General features: G+C 51.1%; 2 protein-coding genes across 19 annotated transcripts in view; both read left to right on the plus strand.

Moving 5' to 3' along the window:
• Nucleotides 1-2,472, plus strand: part of TTYH2 (tweety family member 2) — a 48,450-nt gene extending 45,978 nt beyond the window's left edge. For all 3 annotated transcript variants that reach the window (NM_032646.6, NM_001330453.2, NM_052869.1), the window contains one exon: nucleotides 581-2,472. In NM_032646.6, coding sequence (NP_116035.5) covers nucleotides 581-661 — 81 coding nt within the window. In that variant the 3' untranslated portion in view covers nucleotides 662-2,472. The remainder of the gene's footprint in view (nucleotides 1-580) is intronic.
• The window catches only part of DNAI2 (dynein axonemal intermediate chain 2), a 40,651-nt gene continuing 39,923 nt past the window's right edge, over nucleotides 14,686-15,413 (plus strand). For 12 of the 16 annotated variants that reach the window (XR_007065398.1, XR_007065399.1, XR_007065395.1 and 9 more), the window contains exon 1: nucleotides 14,686-14,797. The gene's annotated coding sequence lies outside the window, so the exon portion shown is untranslated. Of the gene's footprint in view, nucleotides 14,871-15,295; nucleotides 15,330-15,413 lie in introns of all 16 variants that reach the window. The other 4 variants (XR_007065390.1, XR_007065393.1, XR_007065388.1 and 1 more) reach the window with 4 other exon arrangements.

Raw genomic sequence — 15,413 nt, forward strand, 5'->3', positions numbered from 1 at the left:
TACTAGTGGATGTGGCCTGGGCATCGGGATGTTTTTAGGCTCCCCAGGTGTTTCTGGCGAGCAGCCCAGTTTGAGAGCAGCTGTGTTATTAAGGCTCTTCCCTGCTCCATATCATTTCGCCCTTTCAACGTAAGAGCTGGGTGCTCTTATGTCCATTTTGCAGGTAGGGAAACTGAGGCTAGAAAAGGCTGGAGAACCTAAGCCAAGGTCACGGGGTAAGATGCACAGCTGGGATTTGAACCTGCTTCTCTGAGTCTCTGGGCCTCTGCCCTCAGCCTGCTGGCTGCTGACTGCTCCTCCGTGCGCTGGTGGACCCTGACGCTGCCCCCAGTGTGAGGGGACAGGCTGGATGCTGGGGGTGTGTGCTGGGGCGGAGTGGACATTGGAGGACAGCTGGTCTGTGTGTGCATTTTTTATTTGAGGCTGGGAGGCAGAAGTCTTGATGGATGTGGGGTGGAGGCACGGCCGGGTTTCCCTCTGACACCCGACCCAGTTCCACTCTGAGAAGTCCCCGGCACCTTTGCTGGTGCAGTGCTTGGCTGACTCAGCTCTGACCATCCCCTCTCTTCTCTCTTGGCAGTACTCTCCCAGCATGAGAGCCACCTACCTGTCTGTGGCGGATGAGCACCTGAGGCACTACGGGAATCAGTTTCCAGCCTAACAGACTTTCGGGGGTTCCTGCCTCCTTTTTCCGTTCTGGTTTTTAATTAGTGCAAATACAAGCTGCGTTTCTTTAATAGAAACCAAAGGCATCTGGAGCCCGAGAGGCCTCCTGCTGTGGCAGAGGAGCAGCTGGGATTCCCGACCAAAGCCCCAGGGGGTGCAGAAGACTCACCACGCGGGCCAGCCTCTCTCTTTTGCCCTGCTCTCCACACCAGAAATGCCCCCAGGTGCTTGGCTGCCTCAGAGGTACCATCCCTGAGCTGGCTGCCTGGCCCTGCTCACCCCTACGCCTCGCCCTTGCCAGGAGGGGAGTGGCAGTGAGGAGGGGGCCAGGTCAGGCACCACCATCAAGAGAGCTGTGTGTTCTCTCTGGTCCCACAACGATGACTCTGCCTCTTGTCAGCCCAGCCAAGAGCCCAGACGACCCCTCTGTCCTCGTTCCCTGTCCTCGTTCCCTGCAGGTAACATGAGAAGGGCTGATCAGGAGATGCTCTTTAAGAAGTTCGCACCCCTGCTGACACCAGAACAGCCCAAATCAGAGTTCCCAGGGCCAGACAGGCTCTTCCTGGGCCACAGAGGGGAGGCATCAGGAAAGCTCTGCAGTGGGGGGCTGGTGGCTCCGGGGCTGGGGGATCACAGGCTGGTGAACCCCGGTGGGAACAGAGGTGAAAGCCTGCCACATTCCGCCTGTCTCCCTAACCCTCCATTGCCTCGCCTCTATTCCAGAATCAATGCTGCAGAATGTGTTAGCTGCAGATAGGCATGGTCTCAGGTATGAACAGACACTTTGAAACGACTTTAGGTCTTTCTTTTCTCCAGTGTTTTAAACATGTTGATTATCCAAAGAATTGAAACTCCTAGCACATCCAGTTTTTACAACAGATTTGCAGCTCATTCCTTACCCTGGTTAGGTCACTACTTTTGCAGATTTTGCTGGCACTGATCTGGAGATCTGCAGATCTGGAGGAGACGGGAAGGAGTCGATTCTTAAATAAGGATCAGTGAGGCATCCTGTCCCAAGCTACTGTTTGGTGGGGATCTGGGTTCATCTCACCCACAGAGGGAGGATCTTTAAGAGGAGAAAAAAGCCAAGAGGGAAAGCCAGAGTTCCCTGTTCTAGGGGACTAGCCAAATGCCTACATCAGCTGTCCCCTCCCTGTTGTCTCCAAGTAAGTTTGCCAGAAAAGGTTTTAGCAAAGTGCTACAACTGTGTCTTTATAGGAGGATAGGCCTCTGCCCTGCCCCACCCCCACCACCTGTCCCCACCCAGTGTCCCAGGCCACAGGAGCTTATTGGCCAGGAGGGAATAATGTCCCCCAATACTGCCTGTTGAGGGACCAGAGTTGGGGTCTTTGGTGCTTCCAACCTCCTGCCAACCTGGAGTTCACAACACCAGAGCCCCACGGCCTCGCACACTGAAGCAGGGGCGTGCGGTGACTCGGTGCTTCTGTTTTGGAAGAACCACCTGTCATCAAAACATGGACAGCAGGGTGTTCTCAGCTCCCAGCGAAGCCTCCACAACAGAATGGGGCCACAGGGCAGCCGGGACTCCCTGTCTCACCTACATTAACCCATGCATACTGTATGCCATAAACTCACTTTGGTATATCCGCGTCACATGCAGAGAGGAACTCTGCGACGTCAAAGTGTTGCTTCTTAAAGTTTCATTATTGGCAACTAGAGGGTTGTTTTTAATGCATGGAAACTAAACAGATTCCTCGGGGAGTTCCTGAAGGAACCAGGTGGGCAAACCTTTGCTTATATACATGCGGCCTCACCTGGAAGAGAAATAAACCACTTGTACTAAAATGTGCGTTCCGTTTCTGACTTCCACAGCTGCAGGAAATAACGAGGGTATTGAAAGATGGAGCGCTCCCCTCCGGCAGGGTCATGTGGTGGGAGGCTTAGAAGCAGATTCCAGTCGCGATTTCCGTGCCAGGACTGAAAGAGGGGCTTGAACGAATGTCATGGTGCTCTTGCGTGGCTTCCAGCTGCTCTTACAGGACCAGGGACAGGACTTATTTCTGCCCTGATCTTTCTCCAGAATTCCCCCTAAGGGTCACTGTTCTTTTTTTGTTCTTTTTGTTTTGTTTTGTTTTGAGACAGAGTCTCGCTCTGTCACCCAGGCTGGAGTGCAGTGGCGCCATCTCGGCTCACTGCAACCTCCACCTTTGGGGTTCAAGAGATTCTCCTGCCTCAGCCTCCCAAGGAGCTGGGATTACAGGTGGGTGCCACCACACCCGGCTAATTGTTGTATTTTTAGTAGAGACGGGGTTTCACCGTATTGGCCAGGCTGATCTCGAATTCGACCTCAGATGATCCGCCTGCCTTGGCCTCCCAAAGTGCTGGGATTACAGGCGTGAGCCACCTCACTCAGCCGTTAACTGCATCTCAATACCCAAATGAGATTGGCTTTGGGGGGCTTCCATTGTCTCGGAGCTGGAGTGGGACCTGACTTGTAGGCCGGCCCTGCATGAACTAGGAAGGAAGCCTTGGGAATGCACAAGCCGGAGTGTGGTCTGATCACTACGCGTGTCATCTCCCTTTCTCATCTCAGCTGCATTAGTCTCTCCCGCAAGGGAAAGGAGTGGGGTGGGGAAGTGGGTTCTGGGCCCCTGTTTTGCCTGCCAGTCTGCAGGCAGGCCCACCTTTACCCTCCTAAACGTCCTCTGAACAGCCATTCTCTCAACAGCAACCTGACTGCAGACCCAGAACAGCCAGCTTAGGAGGAGAGACTGGAGCTTAACCTGCTCCTGGAGAGAGACAGCAGCAAACTCCACCAGACCCCTTTTGCCTGGAACAGCAGGTGGAGCTTTCACCACGAGTGTCCCAGGCTGTCATTTGGAGCCCACGACCTACCCACGGGGAGCAGCCAACAGAGTGGTTTCTTCTCCAAAGCTAATTCATCTCCAACGAGCTTTCTCCCCCTCCAAAGCTGTACAGTCTTAAATTTAGGACCAGCAGGGGTGTTTCCACAATCTCTTAACTCCCCACATTGCAGATCAGTCAAGAAGCCTGGTGTGTCTGTTGACAGATATACCCATATGGAAAATTTTACCTTCCTTTCTTCCCCTTTTCATTCATTTAAAAATGGATTGCCACCAGGCGTGCTGGCTCATGTAATCTCAACACTTTGGGGGTCCACGGTGGGGGTCAAAGGCGGGAAGATCTCTTGAACCCAGGAGTTCAAGACTAGCCCAGGCAATATAGTGAGACCCCATCTTTAAAAATAAATACTGCAGGGTGCAGCAGCTCAGGCCTGTAATCCCAGCACTTTGGGAGGCTGAGACGGGTGGATCATTTGAGGTCAGGAGTTCGAGACCAGCCTGTCCAACATGATGAAACCCCCATCTCTACTAAAAATACAAAAATTAGCCGGGTGGTAGTGGCGCACACCTGTAATCCCAGCTACTTAGGAGGCTGAGATAGGAGAATCGCTTGAGCCTAGGAGGTGGAGGTTGCAGTGAGCCGAGATCGCGCCACCACACTCTAGTCTGGGTGACAGTGAGACCCTGTCTCAAAAAATAAATAAATACATAAATAAATAAATAATGGATTGATTGATTAACACAGGAGCCAATGAACTAGAGCCAGTGAGCCCAGCCGGCCAGCTGCCTTGGAAGGCCTGTGGGTATAAAATAGTTTTTATATTTTTAAATGGTTAACAAAAAAATCAGACATTTGCAACTATTTTTTGGCTTTTGGTTTGTTTTTTTTTCCCCTCCTTTTTTTTTTTTGAGTTATTAAGAAAAAACAACAAAAAACACAACCAAAAGAACTGACGAGAGGAAGATAAAGCCTCGGGATCAGCCAGAGACCGAGTGGCATATGGGATGAGGCACAGGTCAGGTCTAGCTGGGTCTGTGGAGCAAGGTGGTGGGAAGTCCCAAGGCCTTTGGGCCTGTGGGGTCTGCGGAAGGAGAGGAGGTCACTTAAGAAAATACATATACTGTACACATCTATACGACGCGTCCCATGTTGGGGGAGTGGGGCGAGGTCATGGGAGCTGGTCCACTCTCTCCTCGGACCAGCCTCCCCGCAGGCTCACTGGCTTGGCCAGCACAGGGACCCCTGCAGCTGGCTGTTGTCTTCTGTGGAGCGAGGGAAGGTAACAGTTTAGCTCCCACCCATGGTGGGCAGAGGTCAGCGGAGGTCAGAGGCATGGAGATGGCCACCGCTCAGCTAGGAAATCCCTGTGCCTGGTGCTCGTGCCCGTCATACAGTCTGCTTTGCTGTCTTCTTTCTACTTTTTCCTTCTTTTTCTTCTGGGACGGTGACTCAGGGTCTTTGGTTGAGGATTTTTTTGAGACAGTGACTTGCTCTGTCGCCCAGGCTGGAGTGTAGTGGCACAATCTTGGCTCACTGCAACCTCCACCTCCCAGGTTCAAGCAATTCTCATGCCTCAGCCTCCCAGGTAGCTGAGATTACAGGCGTGCACCACTACGCCTGGCTAATTTTTGTATTTTTAGTAGTGACAGGGTTTCACCATGTTGTCCAGGCTGGTGTCAAACTCCTGACCTCAAGTGATCCACCTGCCTTGGCCTCCCAAAGTGCTGGGATTTCAGGCATGAGCCACCGAGCCCAGCCTGCAACTAATTTTGATGGTCGAGAACACTGTGAACCTCAATTAGGCAAAATTTATCTCCCTCCCCAAAGATTCTGTTCTTCTCAATAGACCTGTATTACCAAAAAATTGTACTTAATTATTATAACATTTTTATTTCATCAAGTAGAAAACTGTGGAAATTGGCCAGGCACTCTGGCTCACACCTGTAATCCCAGCACTTTGGGAGGCCGAGGCAGATGGATCAGTTGAGGTCAGGAGTTCAAGACCAGCCTGGCCAACATGGTGAAACCCTGTCTCTACTAACAATATAAAAATTACCCAGGCAAGGTGATGGGTGCCTGTAATCCCAGCTACTCAGGAGACTGAGGCAGGAGAATCGCTTGAACCCAGGAGGTGGAGGTTGCAGTGAGCTGAGACCACACCACTGCACTCCAGCCTGGGCAACCGAGCAAGACTCTGCTCAAAAAATAAAAAATAAAAAAATCTGTGGAAATTGGTTTCCTTTCTTGTCACATAGGTACCTATGCCAGGTATGGTGACTCACACCTGTAATCCCAACACTTGGGGAGGCTGAGGCAGGAGGAGCGCTTGAGCCCTGGAGTTTAAGACCATCCTGGGCAACATAGCAGGACCATGTCTTAAAATAAAATAAACATTAAAAAAGTAAGTACTTACATGTTACCTTTCATTTTGCCTCTTGGCCCAAAAAGCCTAAAATATTTATTCCATTTTCTAGTAGTTTACAGTTTGCTGGCCCCTGGCTGAGCACAACACCACGTTGTCTAAATTCCGGGACTACAGAAGTATCTAAGGCAATCAGGGTCCTTGACTTCATGTAGTTTAGAAATTAGCAAGGAAGACAAGTAACATTATCAACACTGACTTGCTTACATACAAATTCAGGGTCTCATCTGGACATTTGGTTAAACTCCTTGAATCTTGGGCCTCCTGTTTCGGCTTGTCTAATTGTCATCGTCTTTCTTCCTTTCTTTTTTTCTTTCTTTTCTTCCTTCCCTCCTTTTCTTTGCCCCTCTTCTCTCCTTTTTTCTTTTTAATTTTCTTTTCTTTCCTTACAGGGTCTTGTTCTGTCACCCAGGCTGGAAGGCAGTGTTGTGATCTTGGCTCACTGCAGCCTCCACTTCCTGGGCTCAAGCCATACTCCCATCTCAGCCTCCCCAGTAGCCGGGACTACAGGCACACCACCATGCCCGGCTAATTTTTGTATTTTTTTTTTTTTGTAGAGATGGGGTTTCACCATGTTGCTCAGGCTGGGTCTTGAATTCCTGGACTCAAGCAATCTGTCTGCCTCAGCCTCCCAAAATGCTCAGATTACAGTCATGAGCCACCATACCCGGCCCATCATCATCTATTCTGATTACAAAAGAATGTGTGTGGTGAAAACATTTCAAACTTTACAAAAATGTGTGAGAAAGTGAAAATCCCCCATAATCCATCAACCCAGAGCAAAATACCAGGACCAGTTTGGTTCACATTCTCCAGGTTTTGTCCTAATGGATGTGCAGAAATACAGTCACACTATACATATTCTTCTGCAATTGCTTTTTCTACCTCGTGCTTTATCTTGGACATCTTCTTTTCATTCTTTAAAACGTCTCTCCACTTTTGGGCCAGGTACAGTGGCTCATATCTATAATCCCAGCACTTTGGGAAGCCGAGACCAGCCTGGGCAACATAGTGAGACCCCGTCTCTACAAAAAAAAAAAAAAATACAAAAATTACTGAGGCATAGTGGTGTGCACCTGTGTGTGGTCCCAGCTACGCAGGAGGCTGAGGTGAGAGAATCGCCTGAGCCCTGGTAGGTCTACAGTGAGCTGTGATCGTGCCACTGCACTCCAGCCTGGTGACAGAGCAAGGGCCCTTTCTCAAAAAATCAAAATAAAAGAAGTAAAGCAATGGGCTCATGCCCCTGGGAGCCAATGGTTTCCCCACATACCCATCACCCAAAAGCAGCTGGTCTGACAGAACAACAACAACAAAAATGTGTCCCACTTTCAACCACCAATGCAGGAGTACAGAGAAGAGCGGAGACTGTGTCAGCACCAGAATCCCATTGAGAAAAAACACTCTGGCCGGGCACGGTGGCTCTCGCCTGTAACCCCAGCACTTTGGGAGGCTGAGGCGGGCAGATCACCTGAGGTCAAGAGTTCGAGACCACCCTGGCCAACATGGTGAAACCCTGTCTCTACCGAAAATACAAAAATTAGCTGGGCATGGTGGCAGTGAGAGGTGAAGCCAGCTGGACTTCCTGGGTTGAGTGGGGACTTGGAGAACTTTTCTGTCTTACAAGAAGATTGTAAAGTGCACCAATCAGCACTCTGTAGCTAGGACTGTAAAACGTACCAATCAGTGTTCTGTAGCTAGCAAGGGGATTGTAAAATGCACCAATCGGCACTCTGTAAAAATGCACTAATCAGCGCTCTGTAGCTAGCAAGAGGATTGTAAAACACACCAATCAGTGCTCTGTAAAATGCACCAATCAGCACTCTGTAAAATGCACCAATCAGCAGGAGTCTAAAAGTAGCCAATCTCAGGGAGGATTGAAAAAAAGGGCACTCTGATAGGACAAAAATGGAACATGGGCGGGGACAAATAAGGGAATAAAAGCTGGCCACCCCACAGCCAACCACAGCAACTCACTTGGGTACCCTTCCACCCTGTGGAAGTTTTGTTTTTTCTCGCTGTACGATACATCTTGCTGCTGTTCACTCTTTGGGTCTGTGCCATTTTTAAGAGCTGTAACACTCACCATGAAGGTCTGCCACTGCACTCCAACCTGGGCGACTGAGCAAGACTCCATCTCGAAGAAAAAAAAAAGAGAGAGAGAAAAAACACTCTTCCCGCCTGCCAACAAATTGTCGATTTGATGGGTGCTTTCTGGAAGCACAATGCAAATGCCTTCCTGAGGCTCACACGCACGAAGCAGCACTCATGTTTGTCTTTGAACAGGCGAATGCAAGTCAGTGCCCATGGTCATGGTAGTTATACACAAGTCTGTCACCCTGTTTCAGAGGAACTTCACAAGAGCTGTTAAGTCCTAGGTGATCAGGTGGACAAACGGGTGCTAGTAACCCATCAACCACTGGGGAGGAGCTAATGGGGAGAAGAGCACTCCATTGCTGATAGGTTTGAAAGAGTTTTTGCAACATCTGAGGGCAAGGTCAGGCAGGCAACTCAAAGTCTAGACTGATGAGGCCTGGATCTGGGAGACAACACATAGATGCCGTCACTAATGCTATGGAGAGAGTGGAAGAGCCCAGAAAGAGTGGGCAGAGTCCAGTATGGGACCCCAACATTTGAGGAGCAGGCCAGGCGTAGTGGCTGAGCCTATAATCCCAGCACTTTGGGAGGCTGAGGCCAGCCGGGCCAACATGGTGAAATTTGAGACGATCGAGGCCAACATGGCGAAACCCCATCTCTACTAAAAAAATAAAAAATTAGCCGGCTGTGGTGGCACATGTCTGTAGTCCCAGCTACTTGGCAGGCTGAGGCACGAGAGTCACTTGAACCCTGGAGGTCGAGGTTGCAGTGAGTCAAGATCACTCCACTGCACTCCAGCCTGGGCGACAGAGCCAGACGCCGTCTAAAAAAAAAAAAAAAATTAAGGAGCAGGCAGAAGAAAGAGCTGAGAAAGAATAAAGAAGCAGGAAGGAAACCGGAGAGCTGGTGTACGGGAAGCGATGAGGGGAGGCCTCGCGGAGGGGCACGGGGTGGTCCTCACCGACAAACCACCCCAGGTAGAACAAGGGCTAGAGAGCACAAGCGACTGGGCAAAAGGTCTTAGCCTTTACCTGGCTCTCAAGGGAGAGGTTCCTCCTCCTGTGGAGGCGGGAAAGAAGAGCTGACCAGGGAGAAATGTTTGAAGTTTGTGGTTGACAGCCTGGCACAGCCTCTTCCAGGACTCCCTCAAACTCCGGATGCCCTGTGGTGACCCAGAGCCCCACACCCTGACTCCGCAGTCTCCCGGGTCTCAGCCAGAATGGGAGGAGAGCAATCTGATTCCACCTCCCCTGCGATTCCTGGCAGTTGCCCCATCCCTCTCCAGCCTTCCCATCTCCACCGTTCCTAGCAGATGTGCTGTGCACTAGGGGCTTTTCAGGCAAAATAGAGGCGCCTTGTCAGAGAAGCAGAAGGTGCTAGCCACCCAGGGCTTACAAGGATGTGGGGTCTTCCCAAAATGCCTTAAAAGAGTTTCTGGCCAAGTGCAGTGGCTCATGCCTGTAACCCTAGCACTTTGGGGGGCCAAGGAAGGAGGATCACTTAAGCCCAGGAATTTGGGACCAGCCTGGGCAACATGGTGAAACCCTGTCTCTACTAAAGATACAAAACTTAGCTGAGCATGGTGGCATGCACCTGTGGTCCTGGCTACCCGGGAGGCTGAGGTGGGAGGATCGATTGAGCTAGGAGGTCGAGGCTGCAGTGATTGCACCACTGCACTCCAGCCTGAGGGAACGAGTGAGACTGTCTCAAAAAATAAATAAAATATTAAAGAGAAAAAGGGGGTCGGGTCTGGTGGCTCAAGCCTGTAATCCCAGCACTCTGGGAGGCCGAGGCAGGTGAATCAGTTGAGGCCAGGATTTTGAGACCAGACTGGCCAACATGGTGAAACACCATCTTTACTAAAAATACAAAAATAAGCCGAGCATGATGGCAGGCATCTGTAGACCCAGCTCTGTAGGAGGCTGAGGCATGAGAACTGCTTGAACCTGGGAGGTGGAGGTTGTAGGAAGCCAAGGTCGCACCACTGCACTCCAGCCTAGGGACAGAGCAAGACTTTGTCTCGAAAAAAAAAAAAAAAAAAAGAGTTTCAACCTTTCCAAAGTCTCCTTTTCCAGTTGATCCCAGAAATGCACTCGGATATGGCTCCTACTCTGTCTTCCACTCTCCTATTTTGCTTTCTTTGGACACGGACTACGAATGACTTTTTTTCATTCTGGGGCCCCTTATTTCCCAAGAAAAGCCACACCTGCATGAGTGGAGTATGTCCCTTGGCAAGAACAGCTGCCTCTGGTTAGTCAAATATTGCTCAGAGCTCTAGAAAAGCAGAAGGCAAGGGACCTTGAGGAGGGCTCAGCAGGACTGACCCCAGGACTACAGTTCCAGAAAAAATACAAGGGAGTTTGGGCATGGTGGCTCACGCCTGTAATCCCAGCACGTTGGGAGGCCGAGGCAGGTGGATCACCTGAGGTCAGGAGTTCGAGACCAGCCTGGCCAACATGGCGAAACCCCGTCTCTACTAAAAAATACAAAAATTAGCCGGGCATGGTGGCGCGTGCCTGTAATCCCAGCTACTTGGGAGGCTGAGGCAGGAGAATCACTTGAACCAGGGAGGCGGAGGTTGCAGTGAGCCGAGTTCATGCCACTGCACTCCAGCCTGGGCGAAAGAGCAAAACTCCGTCTCAAAACAACAACAACAAAAAGAATGCAAGGTAGCCTTGCCCTGGGGTGGCAGAATGGCAGAGAGAGATCTGGTCTGCATTAGCAAAAGTGCAACTAGTGTTACTTAACCGCTAGCAACATGAGGGCTTGGTGGGCTTGCCATTGATGTGATGAATTCCATCCTGGGAAGCTTTTACAAACCAGGCCCTCCCACAAGCACTGTGACTATGAAGATGAATAGAATGAGGTTTCCACTTTCTAGGCACTCACAGTCCTGGAAGGAAGCTGGCGAGGCAGGCAGACGCTTTGGTAAGGGGGTGCCGCAGCAGCGAGCCGGCAGAACGTGCTGCCTGCATCTCACTCCTGCAAACCACGTGCAGCTTGTTTTCAACATTGGCGGGAAGAGCAGATGGTTCCTACCAAATGTTATTGTATTGCACATTATGAGCCAAGCAAAGTTAAGTCTAAAAAAGTGACTAACGAATCTCTCATGCAGGATTCCAAATAATTTATCTAGATACTCTGCCTTCGAGAAGGTAGCACAAGGCTGGGTGTGGTGGCTCATATCTGTAATACCAGCACTTTGGGAGGCCAAGGTGGGTGAGTCGCTTGAGCTCAGGAGTTTGAGACCAGCCTGAGCAACATGGTAAGACCCTGTCTGTACAAAAAGTACAAAAAAAATAGCCAGGTGTGATGGTGCACACTTGTGGTCCCAGCTACTCGGGGGGCTGAGGTAGAAGGATTACTTGAGCTGGGGTGGGGCGGAAGTTGCAGTGAGGTGAGATTGCACCACTGCACTCTAGCCTGGGTGACAGAGGGAGACCCTGTCTCAAAAAAAAAAGAACGGTAAAACATAGGCTGGGTGCAGTGGCTCACACCTGTAATCCCAGCACTTTGGGAGGCCAAGGCAGGAGGATCGCTTGAGCCTAGGAGTTGGAGACCAGCTTGGGCAACATAGGGATGACACAGGGCAGGTAAGGCCCAAATTGAGGCTTAGCCCGGGAGGGTTCTTGGCTTTGCCCAGGAAAGAATTCAAGGGTGAGCCAGTGGCAGAGGAAAACTGCTTGATTGAGGTGGCAGTGCTACAGCTCATGACTGCTCCTGCAGAGCAGGGCTACCTGTAGGCAGTGTGCAGAGACTAGCAGCTCAGAAGCAGTTTTGCAGTCATATTTATGCCCATTTTTAATTACATGCAAATTAAGAGGTGGATCATGCAGACATTTCTAGAAAAAGGGTGGTAACATTCAGGTCATTGGGTCATTGCCATGGAAGGGGTGGATAACTTCCAGGTGTTGCCATGGCAATGGTAAATTGACATGGCACACTGGTGGGCGTGTCTTATGGAGAGCTGCTTCCGCCTCTTCCCTATTTTAGCTAGCCCTCAGTCTGGTCTGGTGTCTGAGCCCTGCCTCCAGAATCAAGTCCTGCCTCTTACCTGTGGCTACAAAAAATGAAAAAAATTAGCCGAGCATGGGTATGTGCACCTGTGTTCCCAGCTACTTGGGAGGCTGAGGAGGGGGGCTCGCTTGAGCCCTGGAGGTTGAGGCTGCAGTGAGCCATGATTACACCACTGTACCCCAGCCTGGGCGACAGAGCGAGACCAAAAAACAATGTGAATGAACTTAATACCACTGAACTATACACTGAAAAATGGTTAAGATGGTAAATTTTATGTGTAGTTCACCACGCACACAAAAATTGGGACTAAAGGGGGACACAGCAGTGGAACGGGTTGTGGCAATGCCTGGGGATGTCCAGGGCCAGGGGCGGCTCTCAGCAAAGAATTTCTGCTGCCAATTATGCTGTGATTGGGTGAAGATCTGAGAGGCACCGCAATTGTTTTCAAACTAGGTCCTTGTGAATACTTCTAATTATATGACCTCACGCCGAGGCAGCCGGCCAAGGGGTAACTGTTTGGCCAGTGAACAGAGCTGCCCTCTGTGGTCGGTGGCCTGCAGCCTTCTGGGTGAGGGTGGGGGTGGGGAGCCTGTACTAAATTGTTGGATAATATGGTAAAGGTGGCTGCAGTTTCCTTTCAACTTTTCCTATTTCCCCTTCTAACCCACTTTCCCACCCACAAAATAATGTGTCTTCAGAGAGCCCTCGGCTTCCCAGGGCTGGAGGTGGAGTGGAAAGGGTTGCATTATGATTGCAACCCCAGCCAGCCACTACCTCATCATGGAGTGGATCGTTTCCTATTCTTGGAGACTTTGGGTCTGATTCACCTCTGACCACACAAAGCCATTTCAATGCGTCTTTCAGGAGCTCCTCCACCCAGCCCCTGTCAGGACCCTCAGCACCCACCCCTAAGAGTTCTTTGTCCCGAGAAACTGGTGCGAGCCAGAACGGATCAGGAGAGATTGGTGGCAGCAGTCATTTAGGTGCTTGTCTTTGGTTAGTGCGGCCCTGCAAGGTGCCGTCTCATTGGGAATTTCCTTGCACCTGCCCCACTAAAGGCAGGTGGGTAGTGGTGACAACACATATATGGAGAAGTTGGGAAGTGGGAGAGAAACGTTTGCTTCCTTCCTGTCCTTTCACAGATCCCAAACCCGCTGAGGGCTTCCCATGGAAAGCTGTCTGGGCCCCTCAGCCTGCCTCTCTTGGGACCCCCCACAGACTGGCCCTGGCTGACCTTTGCAAATTCCTCTCTCATTTTTCCCCTGCAGGGACTCTCAACCCCAGCCAGACTGATCCACCCACCATCCTCGCAAAATGCCTTTCTTCCATGACGACTGCCCCTTCCTTCCTTGCTCACGCCATGCCCTCCCCCAATCTGGAACGCCCTCCCCACTCCTCTTCCCTGCAACTCATAACCATTTTTCAAGGCCCAGTTCCAACCCCAATCCCACTTCTTGGATGACGCACTCCTCTTCTGTCCCAGTCCAAATTTCCGATGTCAGCATCTGAACTCGGGATAACCTCATTCCCCGAGCTGCCACTCATTCAGGCACCAGTAGCTCTGGACGGGGGCTGGACACGCCCCTGTGTTGTCTCTCACTTAATCCTCCCCATTATCTAATAAGCACCGCCACTGTCCTGCCACTTTGCAGATGAGGATAGCTGAGTCTTAGAAAAGGAAAGGAACTTGCCCAGGGCCATGAGATTAGTAGGTAGCCAATCTGGGATTCAAATTCATTTTTTTCTAGCCCCAAATTCCCTTGTTTTAATTTACATGATCGCAATTGCCTTAACTCCCTGAGAAACATGACTCGTTTCATTCATTCAACCATTCATTCAATGAACACAGTACATTTCGTGCCAATCACCCAGCTAAGCTGTAAAAATCCCCAGCTTTGCCGGGCGCGGTGGCTCACGCCTGTAATCCCAGCACTTTGGGAGGCCGAGGCAGGCGGATCACAAGGTCAGGAGATCGAGACCATCCTGGCTAACACGGAGAAACCCCGTCTCTACTAAAAATACAAAAAATTAGCCGGGCGTAGTGGCGGGCACCTGTAGTCCCAGCTACTCGGGAGGCTGAGGCAGGAGAATGGTGTGAACTCGGGAGGCGGAGCTTGCAGTGAGCCGAGATCGCGCCACTGCACTCTAGCCTGGGCGACAGAGCGAGACTCCGTCTCAAAAAAAAAAAAATTCCCCAGCTTCTACTCCCAAGGAGTTTCCATTCTGGTGGTGCGGGAAGATGTCTTTATTACAGAAAGTGGAGGAAGGATGGTAGCAGAGGGGAGGGCAGAGTTATAATTCCCACTGAATGGATGCGGAAACTGAAGGAAGGCAGGACAACACAGTCGGCCAAGATGGTAAGCAGAGCCCGCCATCACCACCCAGGGATCAGGGCTTCCCAAGCACTGACTATTCTTCCTTGCATTTTCTGGGTGCCTTGCTCGATGCAAATGCATACAAACGTAGGCTTGGATAAGCGCCTTGGCAACGCCCCTACAAATATTCATGATCATTATTAGTATGTTACCAACCTATTGGTTAATTCTTCTCCTAACTCAGGAGACCTCCAAAAAGAAGAGGGATGGCCTGCGCTTCCGACGTGGCAGGAAAGGAGTCACGTGCTCCGGGGTCCTTCCGCGTCGCCCCGCGCGTCCGGAGCCAGGCCGGGGTTGCCAAGCAACCGGTAAACGCCGCCGTTTGAGGAGCACCGGAGCCGCGACCGTGGATTGAACGCTTCCCCAGAGACCCAGAAGCAGAAGGAGCGGACCCAGGGTAAGGGGCGGGCGCCAGGAGGACGTCGGAGGCTAAAGACTAGAGTGGAGAGTGACAGGGAGAGACTTACAGGGTAATAACCACCAAGAGTGCCAAACATTCCTCTTGGGGGGCTTCCTTCTGGGATAGCTCTGCCAGATGGTGGCTGCCAGGACTAGCGCTCCTAGTGCCCTCTTCCCCTTAGTCCTCGCTGCCCTGGATCCGCCCCAAGTCGCAGGACCCTGCAGCCTCTGTACACCCTGCCTCATACCCTCCTACCCACTCAGGTCCTGATACAGTCCTTGTCCTGGAGTGGACTGGAGACCTCTGAAGGATTTACAGCTGAATGGATGGAAAAAAAAGAAGAAAAACAGCCTCCGGCTAGGGTGATGGGAAGATGGGCCCTTTAAGAGGAGAGCTTTCTGCTCAGGATAGAGGGATGTAAATTAACAGTATTGCACACCTGCTAGGTGGCAGGTGTTTTAAGTGCTTTCTTTCATTTCTTCCTCAACCTGGGAGCTGGCGTTCTCGTGTGATCGAGGTCATACAGTTGGTGAGTTCCTCCGGAGCGTGTGCAGTTCCTCCTTCCTGCTCAAGGTCAAGGTTTACCACATTCTCTTGAACCACAGAAGTGCGT

Source organism: Homo sapiens, chromosome 17 (genome assembly GCF_000001405.40).
Source record: "Homo sapiens chromosome 17, GRCh38.p14 Primary Assembly".
In the NCBI taxonomy this organism is placed as follows: domain Eukaryota; kingdom Metazoa; phylum Chordata; class Mammalia; order Primates; family Hominidae; genus Homo; species Homo sapiens.